This window comes from Homo sapiens, chromosome 17 (assembly GCF_000001405.40).
Source record: "Homo sapiens chromosome 17, GRCh38.p14 Primary Assembly".
NCBI lineage: Eukaryota > Metazoa > Chordata > Mammalia > Primates > Hominidae > Homo > Homo sapiens.
The window spans coordinates 15,521,716-15,542,471 of NC_000017.11; the positions used below are offsets into that span (position 1 = coordinate 15,521,716).

A 20,756-nucleotide genomic window follows, 5' to 3' on the forward strand; every position below is an offset into this window, starting at 1 on the left:
AATGTGATTCTGTGTTAGCCATGTTGCTGCAATTTTGCTGTGCAGCAAACAACTTCCAAATCTCAGTAAGATATAACGACAAACATATATTTGTCACACAGAGGTCTATAAGTCACACAGAGGTCAGATCAGGTCTACTCCACATGTCTCTCATTCTCTGACCCAAGCTGAAGGAGTGTGGCCACCCGGGGCATGCACTTCTCATGTTGCAGGTAAGGAATACACGAGAGTAAATCAAACCACACATTTAAAGTTTCTTATTGGGTGGGACATACATTATATCTGCTCACATTCTAATCACCAAAACAAGTCACGTGGTTAAGCTAAAAGACAGTGGGGAAGTGGAGTATATTCTGCTCAAAATGAATCATGGCACAGGCAGGAAGGAAAGAAAGAATTGTGAGCAAATAATACAAATTACTACAGATTCTACCTCACACCATACCAAAAAAATCAATTTGAGGAGGCTTAAAGACATAACTTATGAAACATTTAAGAGACTATATAGGAGAAAATCTTTATGTTCTTAGAGTAAAAAGGAAATTCACAAATATGAAACATAAAACAGAAACTATAAAAGACTGATAATTTTAATTGAGCTGCTATTCATAAGAAATTCAAAGTGAGATAAGACATTCACAATATATATCAGTGGCAAAGAATTAGCATTCAGAAAACACAAAGTACCCCTATAAATAAATAAGGAAAAAATAGACCTATTCACACCAGGAACTTGGTATTTGACAGAATGGCATCACAAATCAGTGAGGAAAATCTGGATTATTCAATACAGGGTGCTGATACAACTGGCTGTCTACATGGGGAAAGATAAAATGAGATCCCTACTTCAGTCTATATGCCAAGATAAATTCTAGATAATTTTAAAAGATAAATATGAAAAGCAGCATTTTATAACTTTAAAAGAAAATGCAGCATATCATTATTACATTGATAGTGTTTTCAATGAATATTGAAAAGAGAAGTCATAAAAGTTGGTAAGTTTGGCTACATTTTTAAAAAAACTTATATAAGTCAAAACACTCCTGGCCAAGCACTGTGGCTCACACCTGTAATCCCAGCACAATGGGAGGCCAAGGTGGGCAGATCACCTGAGGTCAGGAGTTCCAGACCAGCCTGACCAACATGGTGAAACCCCATCTCTACAAATATACACAAATTAGCCAGGCATGGTGGTGCACACCTGTGCACCACCAGAGCGAGATTCCCTCTAAAAAGAACAAACCAAACAAACAAAAAACTCCCTAAACAATGTTAAAAGTGAAGTTATAGAGCAGAATTTTTTTTTTTTTTGGAGACGTAGTCTCGCTCTGTCGCCCAGGCTGGAGTGCAGTGGTGCGATCTCGGCTCACTGCAACTTCTGCCTCCCGGGTTCAAGTGATTCTCCTGCCTCGGCCTCCCGAGTAGCTAGGACTACAGGTGCATGCCGCCCGGCTAATTTTTTGTATTTTAATAGAGATGGGGTTTCACTGTGTTGCCCAGACTGGTCTCGAATGCCTGAGCTCAGGCAGTCCACCCACCTCGGCCTCCCAAAGTTCTAGGATTACAGGCATGAGCCACCCCGCCAGGCCTTTTTTTTCTTTTTTTTTTCTTTTTGAGACAGAGTCTCGCTCTGTTGCCAGGCTGGAGTGCAGTGGCACGATCTCAGCTCACTGCAACCTCTGCCTCCCAGGTTCAAGCGATTCTCCCGCCTCAGCCTCCCAAGTAGCTGGGATTACAGGCACCCGCCACCATGCCCAGCTAATTTTTGTATTTTTGTAGAGACGGGTTTCACCATGTTGGCCAGGCTAGTCTTGAACTCTTGACCTCAGGTGATCCACCCCCTTTGGCCTCCCAAAGTGCTGAGATTACAGGCATGAGCACTGCACCTGGCTGGAAGATTTTTTTTTTTTCTTTTTTTGAGACAGTCTCACTCTGTCACCCAGGCTAGAGTGCAGTGGTGCAATCTCGGCTCACTGCCAGCTCCGCCTCCCAGGTTCACGCCATTCTCCTGCCTCAGTCTCCCAAGTAGCTGGGACTACAGGCGCCCGCCACCATGCCCGGCTAATTTTTTGTATTTTTAGTAGAGACGGGGATTCACCGTGTTAGCCAGGATGGTCTCGATCTCCTGACCTCGTGATCTGCCCGCCTCGGCCTCCCAAAGTGCTGGGATTACAGGCGTGAGCCACCGCGCCCAGCCGCCAGAAGATATTTTTAACATGCCAAGAAGACAAAGGTTAAATATCCAGAATATTTCAAAGATGTCCTATACGCACTACAAAACACTGCTGAAGAGAGCTTGGTGCATTTGAAGAACAACAAAGTGTTTGTTGTGGTTGTAGCAGAGTGGGGTGTGTGTGTGTGTGTGTGTGTGTGTGTGTGTGTGTGTGTGTGTGTTACTCCCGTCTTTACATGATAAATTCCTTTGACTTAGAATGCCCTTTCACCATTTTGTTCCTGGAGTTAGAAACTACCTCATGAAAATTAGCATGACCTTCCTTTATGCTTCTCTGGTTTGTATTATATTCTCTATTGACAAATTTTAAAATATTATAATTCATTGAGAGTACCATTTTGCCTCCCCCTACTCCCTACTCCAAATATGAGTTTTTCCTGTTTGATTAAACAGCCATTGAGCATCTGTCACAGATCCAGCTCTGTTCTAGGTACTTTAGAATAAAGATGAATGCTTGGTTGTTTCCAGGCTATGCTGTAAATTCTAAGGAAGGGGGTTAAGGACAGGATTCTTGGAGGCAGTATGATGTGATCCCAGAGACAGGAGATAGGAAAAAGATAAGCACATGTTCTAGATGTGTTTAAATTCTCATCAAATAGGAGGCGACGCCATTCTCTGATGAGGAAGGAGATATGAAATCAGACACCCAAAGAGGCTTTCCAGAGGACATCCTAACTTTTGATAGATGTTTCCACCATCTGGGTGGTGTCCTCTTCTCCATCCCTCTGTTTTCTCAGAAGCAGCTGCTGGGGTCCCAGAGGGATGCACACAGTGGCTATAGGTGCTCACAGATCCACAGTGAAACACTCTTATCTAACCCTGGAAGGTTTTGCTGCTTGAAAACCTTTATGCCTTCATCCTAAGATACAAGGTTGCAAATAGCACCAAGAGCTGGAAACAGATGCCAGCTGAAACCTAAGAACAGACACAGTGCATGAGCAGTGTCCTACCAGGACCACCACTCGGCTCTTGGCAGTGGCAGCCCTCCTCCTGGCTTCTGGCAATGACCATCAGTTGCTTCATCTTCTGAAAAGGAAAACTACCCAGTTGGCCAAGCCAGATCTCCAGGAATGAGGTGTCTCTGTCTCCTGCTTTGAGATCAGTCCTTCCACTGCTCCATCCAGGGAGCCCCAGAGAAAGTAATGTGTGAGTTGAACACACTGGAAATCTGTACCTAGCACAGGTCAGCAGTTGAAAACAGCATGTATACAATGGCTTTCACCTACACTGTTAAAAGGCGGGCACATGCCCAATAAATGTTTATTGAGTGCCATTAGGTGCCCGGCACTGGGTCATGCACTGACAATGGGAAGGCGAATGACAAAGATAGGCTTCCTGCTGTCATAGCGTTTACAGACAGCTGGAAGCGTGTGATGGTTAATTTTTTGTGTCAACTTGGCTAGTACTGAGTTATTTAATCAAACACTAATGTAGGTGTTGTTTGCTTTGAAGCTATTTTATAGATGTGGCTAACATCTACAATCTGTTAACACTGAGTAAAACAGATTGCTCTTTTACTGTGTGGGAATGTCTCAGCCAGTCAGTTAAAGGCCTTATGAACAAAACTAAGATTTTCCTGAGGAAGTAGAAAGTTGACCTCAAGATTGCAACATCAGCTCCTGCTTGAGAGTTCCAGCCTGCTGGCCTGCCCTACAGAATTTGGATTTGTCAGTTCCCACAACTGTGTAAGCCAACTCCTTGAAATAAATCTCTCTCCGTGTGTGTGTGTGTGCATGTGTGTGTGCATGCACGCGTGTGCATGCGCCCACGTTCATCTCTGGCACGAGACCCACATACAAAGGTGGTGTCCTAAGGTGTATGATTGGGGAAACTGCATGTGGTGCTTAGCACTGTAAGCCTAAGGCAGACTGTCCAGATAGGAACCTTGGATCCATCATGTACTAGATGCACCATGACCTTGGGTCAACTCCTACATTCTCTAACCCTCAGTTTCCTCATCTGTAAAATGGTGGTAGTATCTCCCTCACACGGTCATTGCAAAGAGTCAAAGAGATTAAGTATCTCATGATATTTAAGAAGTTAAATGCCCATGACCAACACAGCAAGTAAGTATGAAGCCAGGATTTAAACTCATGTTTGTCTGCACTGCGTATGCCCTTTACCCGCTGCCATATCACCTTGGTCTTTGGGAATTACACTTCAGTTATCAGCTCTTTAACAGACACAGTTGCTGTAGACCACTCCTACATTGTTACAGCTTCAACTCTGCTCTACAGAGATGCCTCTTAAATGTATACCTTTGGCCTAATCCTGAGGTTGAGTTCCAGGTTTCCACTGCACTTTGCTAATTTGATATGCTCCATTGGCTTCAAATCTGACATATCTTAAATTCAAGCTCATCATCGAAGCCTCACCATTGACAAGTCCTGGCTTCACCTCTCTCTAGTTATATGACCCCAGGAAAGCTACTGATCCCCCAATCCTCAGTTTCCTCACTTGTTAAATGGCAGGGTTTGCCGAGATCAGGAAGCCAGACACATAGCACTCATAGTTCTTCTTATGTCTGACTGTGTCTACAGTACCTGTCTTGCTTGATCTCTGGTACATTGTGGGTATTATATTGTACTTATTTATTCAGCATCTATTCATTCCCTGGCACTGATTTTGACTAATTTCACAATAAGATGCATGGATTTAGTCCTAACTCACCACTTGTAGGAAAACCATCATTTCTTACTAAACCAAGTAAATTGGCTGCTCCAGTATGCGTTGGTTTCATTTACATCATATGTTAGTATATTGCCATCTAGAGGACCAAGTGCAAGCTACAAGCAAGAGAGAACTGGGGCTTGGGGAGAAAGGCAACATCCTAGAAGAAATGTTTAAAAAACATTAAGACTCATTCGTAGCTGTGTTGGATTTCAACAATTATGTGAAAAAAATAAATAACAGGATGTGTTTTAACTATAAATTAGAAATGAATGCTATAGTAAGTTACCGGCTCATAAACTTATGATCTCTGTTAAATAAAATTTATAGGAGGTCATTGGTTTGAAGTAAGTTCCTGCACTAGGCCCCAGTAGACCAAACCAAAATGGAGTTACTCACGGTAAAGTTCCAGGCCACCAAGCCAAAACTACATTGTTATCTGACCTTCCAAGAAATCAGGAGCGAGAGGGAGATAATAGCCACATCTCCGAACAGCCAGTTTTAGCCTGCCTGATAAGGAAGTCCCCCTACTTTAACCTTCACAAGGAAAGTAACTTTGAAAAAACCAATCCACTTTGTGTTCTTTGTTTCTGCATTCTTCAGCCTTTTTCTGCCTGTAAATACTCACTGCCCATGTTTCAGAGCAAAGCCCAATTCCCATGAATCATTCTTTGCTCTGTTACATTTATTTTGTTTAAAGTTTTACTTCTATCATCTTTAACTTGTTCTAAACAAAATAAAAAATAAAATGAAATCAGCATTCTTTCCTATAATTGACTGTTTTGCTGCATTTGGATTATCCATGCCATATACTAGATGAGAATCTAAATTAAAAGAGGAGCCACTTAACTAGGGGTTAGCTCTCCTGACTGCTGCAACTTTAGCTTAGCAATTCGGTTTTCCATCTGAGCAAGTTACCATTATCGAGTGCTTACTGTGGGCTTGGGACTATACTGAACATTTTACATGAGTTATCTCATTTAATCCTCACAAGCTCCTTCCACCTCAAGAGGGTAAGTATTTACTTGTGCTTATGACTCTCAGCCTGCTGCTTCATCTGTAAAAATGGGATAAGTGACTTTCTCAAAATCTAAAAAAGGATATTGAACTGGATCCACAACTCAGATCTGCCTGAATCAAATACAAGTTCTTAATGATTACAGTTTACTAAATACAACAGCTTCTGCATTCTAAGAATGTCACGAGGATGAAACAATTCGTGGAAAGCACTTTTTGGAGAAAAAACAATGCTCGAATGCTTACATAACAGAATGTTCACACAAAAAATAGGTGTAAAGTGATGTATATTCTATTGGGATAACCAATCGCTTTACAAAAGCATTCAGTAAGGATTGCTTTTTCAGTAAACATTAGTGGTATCTTTTCTTTCAATCTGATTCCAGGTTTGTCAATTTTGCTAATCCTTTCAAAGAACCAACTTCTAGTTTTGTTGTTTTCTCTACTGTTTTTCAAGTCTTTATGTTTTTTCTTTCCTTTCTAATCTATTATTTCCTTCCTTCTGCTTACTTTGATTTACTAGGGTCATCTTCTAGTTTCTTAAGATGAAAGGTGAGACTTGATTTGAGATCTCTTGTTTAAAAAAAATAAGTGTTTACTGTTACGGATTTCTCTATAAACACTGTTATATATGCATCCCATAAGTGTTGGTATGTTGTGTTTTCATTTTCATTAATCTCAAAGTATTTTCTAATTTCCCTTGTGATTTCTTCTTTGACCCACTGGTTATTTAGCAGTATGTTGTTTAATTTTCACATCTTTGTGAATTTCCCAAATTCCCTTGTGTTGTTCATTTCTAATTTAATTCCATTTTGACCAAAGATTATACTTTGTATGACTTCGATTATTTTAAATTTATTGAAGCCTGTTTTATGGCCTAACATATAGTCTATCGTGGAGAATGTTCCATGTTCATTTGAGTAGAATGTGTATTCTGCTGTTGTTGGACAGAGTCTCTACAGATGTCTGTTGGGTTTTTTTGTTTGTTTGAGATGGAGTCTCATTTGTCACCCAGGCTGGAGTGCCGTGGCGTGATCTTGGCTCACCGAAGCTTCCACCTCCCGAGTTCATCCTGCCTCAGCCTCCCAAGTAGCTGGGATTACAGGCATGCGCCGCCACACCCAGCTAATTTTTGTATTTTTAGCAGAGACGGGGTTTCTCCATGTTGGCCAGGCTGGTCTCGAACTCCTGACCTCAAGTGACCTGCCCGCCTCAGCCTCCCAAAGTGCTGGGATTACAGAAATCAGCCACCGTGCCTGGCAGATTTAGTTTGTTTATAGTGCTTTTGAATCCTCTTTTTCCTAGTTAATCATCTGCCTACTTCTATGCATTATTATAAATGAAGTGTTGATGTCTCCAGCCACTATTGTTAGATTTTCTGACTTCTTTACCTTTAACTAGCAAAGCAACTCAGTTTTTCTTTCTAAATAAGAGTTATCATTATCAAGTGCTTACCGTGTACCTGGGACTATGCTTACTCTTTTATGTGGATTATCTCATTTAGTTATTAATAATTATTAAGAGTAAATTGTTATGCCAGGCTCAGAGGCTCACGCCTGTAATCCCAGCACTTTGGGAAGCCAAGGGAGGCAGATCACTTGAGGTCAGGAGTTTGAGACCAGCCTGGCCAACATGGTGAAATCCTATCTCTACTAAAAATACAAAAATTAGCCTGGCATGGTGGTGCAGGCCTGTAATCCCAGCTAATCGGGAGGCTGAGGCAGGAGAATTGCTTGAACCTGGGAGCTGGGGGTCGCAGTGAGCCGAGTCAGCGCCACTGCACTCCAGCCTGGGTGATAGAGTGAGACTCTGTCTCAAAAAAAAAAAGTAACTTAATTGTTAATAATTATTCAATATGGAGAGTTTTGTCAGCTTTTGTTTCATGTTGTGGGATTTTTTAAGTGCATATTTGTTTTTAAGTGTTATGTTTTTCTGATGAATTGGTCCTTTTACCAATGTGTGATGTCCTTCTTTGTCCCTTGAAACAGTTTTTGCCTTAAAATCTACTGTTTGACATTAGCATAGTCACTCCAGCTATCTTTTGATTGCTGCTTGCATGGTATATCTGTTTCTATACTTTCACTTTCTACCTGTGTCTTTGAATCTAAAGTGTGCCTCTTGTAGACAACATATAGTTGGATCATGTTTTTTGCCAATCTGTTTTTTGTTTTTTGGGTTTTTTTTGGATGGAGTCTCGCTGTCACCCACGCTGGAGTCCAGTGGTGTGATCTCAGCTCACTGCAACCTCCGCCTCCTGGGTTCAAGTGATTCTCATCCCTCAGCCTCCAGAGTAGTTGGGATTACAGGTGCCCACCACCACACCCAGCTAATTTTTGCATTTTTAGCAGAGATGGGGTTTCACCATGTTGGCCAGGCTGGTCTTGAACTCCTGACCTCAAGTGATCCGCTCACCTAGACCTCCCAAAGTGCTGGGATTACAGGCGTGAGCCACTGTGCCCAGCCGCAAATCTGTCTTTTGACTGAATTATTTAACTGGTTTTCTTCTAATATAATTACTGATAAGGTGGGAGTCACTTGTGGGATATCTGCTCTTTTCCTTTTATGCATCTTATGTCTTTTGATTTAATTTCTCCACTACTGCCTTTTGTATTAAATAGGTATTTTCTAGTATATCATTTTGATTTCCTTCTTGTTCCTCTTATTGTATTTTTTGAGTTTTTTTTCCTAGAGGTTGCCCTAGGGACTATGATTAATATCTTAACATAAAGTAGGTTCAGATTAATGCCAACCTAATTTCAATAATACTCAAAAACTTTGGTATAGCTCTATTCCCTTCCTCCTCCTTTGTGCTATTATCATCATACAAATTGCATCTTTTATAAGTTATAACCCTATCAACATTATTTCATAAGTACTGCTTTATGTAGTTGTCTTTTAGGTCAGACAGGAAAAGAATTACAAACAAAAATACATTTATACTATATTTCATATTTACCTATGTAGTTACCTTTAATGATGTTTTTTATTTCCTCATGTGGATTGGAGTTATTGTCTAGTGTCCTTTCATTTCAGTCTGAAGGATGTCTTTTAGCATTTCTTTTAAGGCAGGTCTGCTAGCAGTGAATTCTCTTAGTTTTTATCTGGGTATGTTTTAATTTCCACTTTTTTTTTTTTTTGAGGGTGTCTCACTGTGTCACCCAAGTAGGAGTGCAGTGACACAATCAAGGCCTCAACCTGCCAGACTCAAGTGATCCTCCTGCCTCAGCCTCCTGAGTAGCTGGGACCACAGGCACATGCCACCACACCCAGCTGTTTGTTGTATTTTTTGTAGAGATGGCTTTTTGCCATGTTGCCCAGGCTGGTCTCAAATTCCTGGGCTCAGGCAATCCTCCTGCCTCAGCCTCCTAAAGTACTGGGATTACAGGTGTGAGCCACCATGCTCATCCTTTCTTATAGTTTTGAAGGATAGTTTTGCTGGATCTAAAATTCTCTGTTAAGTTTTTTTCTTTTAGCACTTTGAATATGTCATTCTACAGCCTTCTGACCTCTGTAGTTTCTGATGAGTGGTAGGCATTTAATCTTACACAGGATCCCTTGTATGTGATAAGTTGTTTTTCTCCTGCTGCTTTAACGACTGTCTTTGTCTCTGGCTTTTGACAGCTTGATTGTAATGTGTTTAGTAATAGATCTCTGAGTTTATCCTAGTTATAATTTGTTGATCTTCTTGAATGTGTAGCTCATGTATTTCATTGAATTTGGGAAGTCTCAGCCATTATTTCCTCAAATATTATTTCTGCCTTTTTCTTTTCATTTTCTGGAACTCCTTTAATGCGTATGTTGGTAACTTGATAAAATGCCACAGATCCCTCAAGCTCTGTTCACTCTTCATTCTTTTTTCTTTCTGTTCCTCGGACTGGATAATTACATTTGTCCTATTTTCAAATTTGCTGATTCTTCTGCCTGTTTAAATCTGTAAACCCCTCTAAGAAATTTTTCAGCTCCAGAATTTTTCATGTTTTCTATTTACTGATACTTTCACTTTGTTTATACATTATTTTCCTTTCTCCTGTTCTTTGTCCACGGTTTACTTTAGTTTTTAAAGCATATTTAAAGGTTGACAAACTTTTTGTTTAATAGATCTAATGTCTGGGTTTTCTCAGGGATGGTTTCTGTTTTCTAAGTTTTTTCCCCCATATATAGGCGGCTGTAATTGCTGTTTCTTCACATCTTTTGTTGTTGTTGAAAACTGGAAAATTTAAATAATATAAGGTGGCAACTCTGCAAATCAGATTTGTCCCACACCCATCTTTGTAGAGTTTGTTACTATTTGTTATTTTTATTGCAATGGTGGTATGTCTAGTACCTTTCCTCGACTAATTCTGTTTAGTCTGTGTTCTTTGTCATGTTGCAGTCACCAAAATCTCTGCTTGGTTACTTTAGTCTTGAGCATATGATTAGACAGGGATTTCCTTAAGTGGTTGAAGCATAAGTCTCTCACCTTTACCTGACTTTCTAGCTCCCAAGAATATTTTGGCACTTTTCAAAGCCTCTGTAGACATCACACTCCCCTTTTTTTAAGTTTTCTGGCCAGTCTCATTTGTCCCAACTAGTATAGCCATGTCAGGCAACTGTGCTATTTAAATTATTGCCACCAATTGTTTATAACAAACAACCTGAGGATAGTTTCCTCATTGAGTGACCTGAGTTGGGTTAAATGAAGACAAGCCCTGTGATTGGGACTATTCCAGGGAGCTGCCAGACAGGTCAAGGAGTGACAAATCTCTGGGGATGGGGCGTCTTGGATAACTCCAAACCTATCTTGGGGGGACTCTAAATTCCTTCAGTGGTTTCTAGGCTACTGGTTGTCACAGCTACTGTGGTCTCAAGGTTGCTGATTTTCAAGGCTACTGTGGAGCTGAGAAGAAAATGGGGACAGGACAAGTTAAAACACCACAAACCTTATTGATCACGGAAAGTCAGCTTTTTTCTCAAATACATTTTCTTTGGGTTGTTGCAATCGTTTGGTTAATTTCCAGAGTTTAAAAAAGTTTATTTTGATCATTCCTGCCAGTGTCCTCACTGATTTTATGCAGAATCAGATATTCAAAGATCCATACTCCACCATTCTGGAAATGTTTCTCTATGATTTTTTTAATGGGATATATAGGATTTCTCTTAAATTAATATAAGCAGCATCTATAGGATTTCTCTTAAATTAATATAAGCAGCATCTACTACATTCACTTAGAACACTAGACATTACCAACCATGATAGACCATCTAAATGAGAAAACTGCTTCTCTTCTCAAATTTCATAGAATGTCCATGCTGGTTTCCAAAGCACATGGCATCTACCTTCAGTAAGCAACACAGAATATTAGAACACCAGAGTTCAAGTTCGTATCTATACACTCTCCAGCTCCAACTAAGAGGGCCTAAGGGACAGACTGTTCATCAATGACTGTAGACTAATGGTTTTCGCCCCTTCAGGCCCACAGCCACTTTTTATCAGAAATATTTTTAAACATGTTTTATTATTCTAAAACACAAACAATATAACTTACGTGAGGCATATTTTTAAATCATCTATCATGATTAAAGGTATCTTTAATATCTAACTGTAATGTAACAGAGAAATAAAAGGAAGCAACTTACGGTAATGTGTAATTCAATCTGGAGATGGCCAAAACTCCTGATGACACAATCATTAGATGCTTGCATATGTACATATAATTACCATTAATGTACCCACTACAAATGCAGACTACTGCAGTAGTTTTGACCTGGAACTCAAATGCCATGAGCAATGTTGCCACTAGTGATAGTTTTTAAAATGATAGAAAACTCTTGGTTACGTACTGAACAAAGACTACAACCTTCCCTCACTTAACTGGTAATTGCATTTTTTAGCAAATCAAGTACTGCAGATCTACAACAAAAATATAAAATGGAGTTATAATCTAAGCTCAAAAAATTATTGTCAACGTCCACCCGTCAGAGATCATGAGGAACAGATCTGCGGTTGAATCGAGTTGGGTTTATCAACACACTTTTACACAAGAGAGATCACACACCATGGGGAACCATGGGGTGCCTCAGTATGAGGGTGCTGGGAAGGGCTTTTTAAAGGATTTGGGGTTGTGTTGGGTGATTTCAAGAAGGGCTCCATGAATCATGGTTTTACTCTGGATTAAGTGCTTTCAGAAAGCAAGGGAAATTCTAAATGAGTGTAAACATTGAAATTTTTAATCTAGGAGGAAGAAGGAACAGAGTGATCTAATGGGTAATGGAGCAAATATCACACATGTAAGCCAAGAGACAAGAATGTTTGGTCGCTCTATGATTTACACAGAATCTTGCTAAGTTCCAACATGCCTATGGAGTGTCTTAATTTTTGTCTTCCTCCACCACACTCAGAGTGGCCTTGTCAGATGTTGTTGTTATATAACATTGTTTATATTCAACAGAATATAATAGCCTAGCCATTAGGGCTAAATCAGCTTCCAGCTGACAGCTGTAGGGGTTGCTCTTCCTTTCTCATTATAAACAGGATTTCTATGTACATAATTATTCAGCGAGGTTCAAAGAAGTCATGAGATACAGGACAATTCTTTGTTGTCTAAAACTGTCCTATGCTCTTCAGGCACCTAGCATCTCTATTCACTTTCACTCACATTTCATTGGCCATTGTTAACCACATGGCCTCAAATTAATTAAGGAAGCTGAGAAATGTAGAACAAATGGAACGTTTAGTGAGCATTACTATCTCTACTACATGCAACCTTCAATAAATTATTTTACTTCTCTCAGTATTAGTTACCTACCTGTAACATGAGGTTACATGGTACATAATGGTCATTCTTCCCTCTTGGGGAGAATCACATGAGATAATACATAAAGGAACTTTAATAAGCTCTAAGAGTTATATAGATTTAAAAGGCCCATAGTACCTATATGTTGGAGTTAATGTGCCATCACTTCTACACACACACACACACACACACACACACACACACCCTTACCTATTTAGAGGTCTGGGTCAAAGAATACATACTCTGGGGGATGTAGAATTAGAATGTGATTTTACTAGGGCCAGGCGTGGTGGCTCACACCTGTAATCCCAGCACTTTGGGAGGCCAAGACAGGCAGATCACCTGAGGTCGGGAGTTCAAGACTAGCCTGACCAACATAGAGAAACCCTGTATCTACTAAAAATACAAAATTAGCCGGGCGTGGTGGTGGGCACCTGTAGTCTCAGCTACTTGGGAGACTGAGGCAGGAGAATCACTTGAACCCGAGAGGTGGAGGTTGCAGTGAGCCAAGATTATGGCACTGCACTCCAGCCTGGGCAACAAGAGAGAAACTCCATGTCAAAATAAAAAAACAAAAATGTGATTTTACTTCCATTTTACTAGCACCATTCAGTCAATTCACTTGTATCCAAGGCTGACCCAGGGAAAAAAAATGGAAAACCACTTATCCTCAGTCTCTCCTAATTTCTTCAGTCTTAATGAAATGATTAAAGTGTCACAGATTTTATTTTCTAAAGACTATCTCCCATCCCACATACTTCTTATTATAATGTAATCTTAACACTCCTCTCATCAAGTACTGGGCTCTATGTACCCTTCTATAGAAGCTGGATGGACCTTGGTTACTGCTTCATCCAATGAAGTATGACAGAAGACACATCATGTGAATTCCAAGACTAATCATTAAAATGCCATGCACTTCTCTTGCTCTCTTGGAAGGCTCATTGTTAGAACCCAGTGCCAGGTTGTGAAGAAGTCAAATGTGCCCACAGGGAGAAACTACACAGTGTAGGTGTTCCAACCGAGAGCCTAGCTGAGGCCACAGCTGACAGCCAATGTCAACCTCCAGGCCAGTAGCTGAAAAGCTCCCTGCCACTCCCTGGCTCCTTCCCCAGCCATCACTGTGCTCCATCCAAATTCCTGTCCCACACAATTTGTGAGCATAATAAAATGACTTTTCACCAGTAATTCTAGGAGTGGAATTTTACGTAGCAACAGCATCTGAACAGTGCAACTCGGCAGCAACTACAATATTCACTTAATTACTACATAAAGGACAACTATGTATTTACTAAATTATTACATCTCTAATACTGTACTAACAACTGGAGTTGTTAGTACAATATGGAAAGTTAGTTCAAATGGAAATAATCATGGATAATGCTCAAAGTGCACTGTATCGACAAGAATCCAGTTAGGCTATGAGCAACAGAGAAGCCAGAACATTAACACTTGAAGAAGGTAGTTCCTCCCTTCACTTTTATTAAAAGTTCAAACAGGTCGCCAGATACGATGGCTCACGCCTGTAATCTCAGTACTTTGGGAGGCTGAGGCGGGCGGATCACCTAAGGTCAGGAATTCGAGACTAGCCTGGCCATTGTGGTGAAATCCCGTCTCTACTAAAAATACAAAAATTAGCCAGGTGTAGTGGCAGGCTGGTAATCCCAGCTACTAGGGAGGCTGAGGCAGGAGAATCACTTGAACCCAGAGGGCAGAGGTTGCAATGATCCGAGATCACACCACTGCACTCCAGCCTGGGTGACAAGAGCAAAAACTCTGTTTCAAAAAAAAAAATTCAGACAAGTAGTTCAGGGCTACTATACCCACAAGATGGGATTCAGACAGTATCTACCTCATTTCTCTGCCATTCACAAAACGAAGCCTTTATCACATAGTCCAAGATGGCTGCTCTAGTTTCTGCTATTGTGTCTACCTTTCAGGAAAAAGGGGGAAGGGATGGGCGTGCCTCCTCCTTTTAAGGATACTTCCTGGAAGTGTATCCATTGGCCCAAACTTGGTGGTGTGGCCACACCAAGATACAGCAATAAAATCTAGGAAAAGTTTTATCTTTATTCCAGGATGCCATTCCCTAGCTAATTAGGTGGGAAATCTGTAGAAGGAGAAAAACGAATATTAGGGAATACAGGGTAGCTCCTACCACATGCATATTCTAAAATTCATTGTTACTTGGTTTAGGATGCAGTTCAAATAACACAGTTACCTAAAGAACTACACCAATGTATCCTTTGTTAGACTCTCAACCCTAAAGATTTAGGTTAGATCTTTCAGATTGTATTTTAAAATGTCTTTAGTGCAGTATCAATTCTCACCAGACAGAACAGCTAAGTAAAATAAACAAGCTCTTAACAAATTATTAATTTTTAAGAAAGGAAAGGGCATTTAGAGCAAATATTTTCTCTAAAAAATACTAATATATCATGTTTTATATCCTACAGATATTCCTGCAATCTGTTTTCCTTGGGAAAGTCACTCATTAACCTGAAGTTCAGTTATATCATCTAAAGTATTACATATTTATCATGAGGGTTACATGAGATTACACATGTCAAATGCCTTGTAAATAGTAGAATTTTATACAAATATAAAGTTTTGCACCTTCAAAGCTATCACTCCAATAAGACACTTATTCAATTAAACAAATAATCTTAAAAACTATTTTAACAATGTACAAATATATTCACAACATAATCTGCTGATTAAGACTTCAACAAAGTTTATAATACCTACAACAGAATTTACAGATGCCTACAATAGTTTGTAGATTGGTTTAATTTACAGTTACATAGATTGCTTTAAGAAATACCATTAATACAAATGCATAATTTACAATATCCCCATTATAGCAAGAAAAAAATAGATTCAGAAAATAAAATGTCTTTTAGGCATTTATTATGCCAAGTATGTAAATTATTATTCTCATTATGACATGAGAATAATGCTCTTTTAGTGGTAAAAGATCTATTAGCTCAAGGTCCACTGAAGAACTTTCAATCTAGCTATCCTTTCTGTAAAATAAATAGAATAGCAGCAATCTCTGGGTATTCCTTAAACTATGATGATTCCACTTATATTAACTGGGCCTTAAGTAGATAACTTCTTACAAACAAAAATAAAATTTTATAAAGTAGTTAATACCACTGGCCCTAATTGTTTTCACTTGCTTGCATACGTCTAAGAAATTTCCCCATGAAGTACATATTAAAAACTAACAATTATTTCTAACTTATACATAAGCCAAAGTGCTCACTCTTACCATAGAAGCAAAACTTTCTCCTGAAAACAATCTACAGAAATAATATGTAAACATATAGAGCTTTGAGACAGACTAAGAACATCCTCCTATGTTCTATGGATCAAAATGCAAAGGTCTCCATTATCTGTGTAAATGAACACTTTCATTAACTTGGGATATACAGGTATTACATGGCCGTGTGCATACCTATGGAATGTGCATACCTACACCACAGAACAAATCTTAACAATGTTTCTAGTGCCAACATATACTTTCTAGCCCCAACTGCTGGAAAGGAAATAAAAACTTAATATGAAAACTACTTTTCCTTTTTATAAATAAAGTTTTTAAGTGGAAAAACAAAGCCAACACTCCTCGTTGCAACATGGACTAAGCTCTAAAAGGTTGAGTCAAGAATCTCTTCAGTTGTTCCCCAATGTAACAAAGCACATAAGCTTTCTCTATTCAGGAAGTCTGATCATCTCCAGTGTTCCGCAAAAGACAAAAAAAGAACTCCTTAACATCAAAGTTATTTCACTTCACACACCATGGACTTGGGGCCTAGGCCTAGGAAAACATTCTATATTTCTAAGCAGAGCATTACCTTACATACAATGGCCCAATCACATTAAAAAGTAGACATGCTAGGCTGGGCGCCGTGGCTTACACCTGTAATCCCAGCACTTTGGGAGGCCGAGGAGGGTGGATCATGAGGTCAGGAGATCGAGACCCTCCTGGCTAACACAGTGAAACCCCGTCTCTACTAAAAATACAAAAAATTAGCCAGGCGTGGTGGCGGGCGCCTGCAATCCCAGCTACTCGGGAGGCTGAGGCAGAAGAATAGTATGAACCCGGGAGGTGGAGTTTGCAGTGAGCCGAGATCGCGCCACTGCACTCCAGCCTGGGCAAACAGAGTGAGACTCTGTCTCAAAAAAAATAAATAAATAAAAAAGTAGACATGCGCTAATGAAGTAAATCCATGGATACCATCATCCACCCAGCTGTCCAGTTTGTCTCATTTGAGCAGACGCCGGATACCATGTAAGACACTAACCCTATCCATGTTATGCCAGGTTTAAGGTTTAATTTCACCTGTATTCCATGTTCCTCCCCACCTTCAGAAACACTGAAAATTCTAACGAAAAAAACCTAATAAGCACATACATGAAAGTTACCCTAAGGTGGACCACAGTAAAGGTATATTGGAGCCATGCAAAAATCCTTCAGAATGAGATGATCATGTCCCTACATGAATATTCATTTTCTCTACTTTTCATCTTCTGTGAGAGAAACTGTACAGTAGAATAAAAAGAACAATAAATTTTGAGTACAGAGGGCTGGGTTTAAGATCTAGCTTTGTACCACTATTAGCTGTATAATCTTAAGTAAATAATTTAATTTCTCGGGGCTTTAGTTATCTAAAATGTAATCCCTGGACCAGTGCCCTCAGTACCACCCAGAAACTTGGGAGAAATGCAAATTATGAGACTCCACCCCCAGATCTACTGAATAAGGAGTCTGGAGGTGGAACCCAGCAATCTTGTGCCCTCTAGGTGATTCTCATGTATGTTCGAGTTTAAGAATCCCTGTCCTACATAATATCACTTGCCCAACCTACTGTACTAACCAAATGCAAGGTATTACTCATATAAAGACCTAGTCACGGCCAGGCGCCGTGGCTCACGCCTGTAATCCCAGCACTTTGGGAGGCGGAGGCAGGCGGATCACGAGGTCAGGAGATCGAGACCATCCTGGCTAACACGGTGAAACCCCGTCTCTACTAAAAATACAAAAAAGCCAGGCGTGGTGGCGGCGCCTGTAGTCCCAGCTACTCGGGAGGCTGATGCAGGAGAATGGCGTGAACCCGGGAGGCGGAGCTTGCAGTAAGCCGAGATCACGCCACTGCACTCCAGCCTGGGCGACAGAGCAAGACTCCATCTCAAGAAAAAAAAAAAAAAAGACCTAGTCACTTTTCCCAAGAGATTTAACCAATAATTATTTACCTATGACTACTACTCATCCTGCTGAAAACCCTGATGTTGAGGTATTATAGTAAAATCCTTATGTTCTAGGGGGAAAAAAACATCTGAGTACAAATGTTATGGTCTTCTTGTGATTCAACTGTTCTCCCTAAAACCATACAACATACAGGCTGGGCACGGTGGCTCACGCCTGTAATCCCAGCACTTTGGGAGGCTGAGGTGGGCAGATCACAAGGTCATGAGATGGAGACCATCCTGGCTAACATGATGAAATCCCATCTCTACTGAAAATACAAAAAATTAGCTGGGCGTGGTGGCATGCGCCTGTAATCCCAGCTACTCATAAGGCTGAGGCAGGAGAATCACATGAACCCGGGGGGCAGAGGTTGCAGTGAGCCGAGATTGCACCACTGCACTCCAGCCTGGGCGACAGAGCAAAACTCTGTCTCAAAAAATAAAAATAAAAACATACAACATACATTCTGCAAGGGCATTCACTTAAAGCTCCCATAATTGATGAAAAACAACTGAACTTAAAAGTAATTTTTAAAAAATAAGTTATTATCAATGATAGTTTATCCTTCCTGGCTTTAAAATAATTTTAGGATACTGACAATACACTTCCAGACTGTCTTGAACACCCCCAAAGAGCAATTACAACATCTTTATCATTATATTTATACAACTATATGCCTTTAAAACTTCTGTTCAGGAGCGTTTCATAAAAATTAAACTATGAAAGTTAGAAATAATTGCATTAGTCACTGATCACATCCAGAAAACACTTACTTGTCTTAAAAACTGCTTTCCAAAATATGAAGTAGCCATGCTGGTTAAATGCTTTCTGCTGCGCACCTTACACCTGATGTAACCATACAGGTTGGCACCTTGTAGCACCACACCCATAATAACCACCGCCTGGGACAAGGGAAAAAAATAATCAACGGTTACTGGCCTGAAATTGACCTTTCTCTGTGCCATAAATGAGACAAGGCAGACTGTCATGAGAAAGAGAAGGAAGAGGAAGCTCTGCAAAGCCATGATTGTGCCAGTTGAGATTTTCCAGAGACAGTTGCCAGAACAGACCCATCTGATAGACGCTCTGCACAAGGCACGAGTCATTCACCCAGCAAATATTTACTGGACACAACTGCTCTATGTGCCAGGCACCATGCTAGCTGCTGGGGATGCAGTGCAGGGGGAGCCTTCTTGCTCTCTGTTTCCCATTGGTCTGTGAGTAAAGTTAGGAAAAGTAAATGAGACTCAGGAAAGGTTCAAATGTTAATTATTCCTATAGGAATTACAAAAGAACAGTCAAGAGGTAGATCAAGTTCAATAAACTGAGAGCAGGTAGGGGTGAATCTCTGCTCTACGTGACAACTGGCTTCTGGTAGAGGGGATGCAATGCCCTAAGGCATAAATCAACCGATGCCTGCCTTCCCCGAGGAGAGAGACAGCTCCAAGGGGAACTGTACTTTTGCAGAGCTGTTTGTTCCTTTGAGTTTCATTTTCTCACCTATGGTGATCCCACTAGGATCAATGAGAAGTGAGAAAAAGAAACTCAAAACCCATTCTTTAAAAATTTCTAATTAATCTTAATTAGAAAAATTGAGACAATGTGAGGGATTCCCAAGGTTAAAGACTCTAATACAGTGATCAGCAAAGTTCTCCTGTAAAGGGTCAAATCATAAATATTTCAGACCATACGGTCTCTGTTGCAATTACTCAACTCTGCTGTTCTAATCCAAAGGCAGCCATAGACAATATATAAGTGGGCAAGGCTGTTTTTCAATAAAAACTTACAAAAACAGGTGTCGGGCTGGATTTGGTCTGCAGGCCATAGTTTGCCAACCCTTGTTCTGGAATAAACAGCTCATCGACCATTCTACTCTTTTATATCTGTGACAAGCAAAGCAGCTCAATGAAATGTCGTTTTCCAATCTAGATTTATTCTCCTTACCCTTAACAAGATGTATAGCTGATTTTAATGTTTAATTAATAGATTTAAATGTTTGATTAATGAACAGGTTCACATTCCTAGTAAAAGAAGAGGAGGTGGTACTTTCTGTTCTAAACTTATGTTTCATGGAATTAAACGTGTTAGTGTAATAAGAGGGTGCTAGTTTCCTAAATAAATATAAAACTGTGTATTTATTTGAATAAATTTCCTTTTAATTTCCCATGCTTCTCAAATGGGGCACTGCTGGGTATTGTATATATCAACATGCCAGGGTACACCTGAATTCAAAGACCAATCACGGGTCCTGCTAAGGCATCGATTTACTCAATGGCAACAAATGTTAAAATCTGTAAGTTAAACTTCTGGTTTAAGATGGTGCAGTGAAGTCAGACATGAAGATCTCCCTGCCCTTAAGGTACAAACAGCAAACAGCGTTTTTAAAAACACAAATAAACTAATACCAACAAACACAAAAAAGGGCTGGTGGCCAAAGAAAGAGCCAGGTTGGAGCAGCTCTACATAGCTCCAAACTCTGCAAAGAAGCTCTAAGGAAAATTTCACTAATAATTACCATCCCCAGGAACTTATAGAAAAGCAAAAGACCCGAGAAAAAAATGCAGAAATAGCCATGACAGCAGAAACTCCTCCCAACTAACAATGACCCAAACAGGCAGGAAAATCCCTGCAGCTGGCCATAGTGGTGCCACCGGGTGGGAAGAAGGCAGGAGACGAAGCGCAGAAGGATCAATAATCATGAGAGATGATCATCTTAAGAGAAGTGAGGAGGTGGGAGACTCATGGAGAGACTGGGTGAAGCCCATTCCCGTCCTGTGGTCTTAACCCATTTATTTTTATTATTTTTATTTAT

The 20,756-nt window shown here is 40.1% G+C and overlaps 2 protein-coding genes across 4 annotated transcripts in view, besides 2 other annotated features; both read right to left on the minus strand.

The window, feature by feature from the left end:
* TVP23C-CDRT4 (TVP23C-CDRT4 readthrough) overlaps positions 1 to 20,756 on the minus strand; it is a 127,469-nt gene that overhangs the window by 85,701 nt on the left and 21,012 nt on the right. The gene's annotated exons all lie outside the window — the stretch shown is intronic.
* The window catches only part of TVP23C (trans-golgi network vesicle protein 23 homolog C), a 61,220-nt gene that overhangs the window by 19,452 nt on the left and 21,012 nt on the right, over positions 1 to 20,756 (minus strand). Inside the window, exon 6 of one of the 2 annotated variants that reach the window (NM_001135036.2) lies at positions 15,265 to 18,846. The exons of the other annotated variant lie outside the window; for it this stretch is intronic. Coding sequence (NP_001128508.1) covers positions 18,697 to 18,846 — 150 coding nt within the window. The 3' untranslated portion in view covers positions 15,265 to 18,696. Of the gene's footprint in view, positions 1 to 15,264; positions 18,847 to 20,756 lie in introns of those variants that run through there. 2 annotated transcript variants of the gene reach the window in all.
* Positions 14,298 to 14,797: an enhancer, noted in NCBI's record as "H3K4me1 hESC enhancer chr17:15439327-15439826 (GRCh37/hg19 assembly coordinates)". NCBI's record gives its function as "activates a minimal SCP1, AML or CMV promoter by ChIP-STARR-seq in naive H9 embryonic stem cells {active_cell/tissue: H9 hESC(naive)}" and the evidence as "EXISTENCE:reporter gene assay evidence [ECO:0000049][PMID:30033119]".
* Positions 18,890 to 19,515: an enhancer, noted in NCBI's record as "NANOG hESC enhancer chr17:15443919-15444544 (GRCh37/hg19 assembly coordinates)". NCBI's record gives its function as "activates a minimal SCP1, AML or CMV promoter by ChIP-STARR-seq in naive H9 embryonic stem cells {active_cell/tissue: H9 hESC(naive)}" and the evidence as "EXISTENCE:reporter gene assay evidence [ECO:0000049][PMID:30033119]".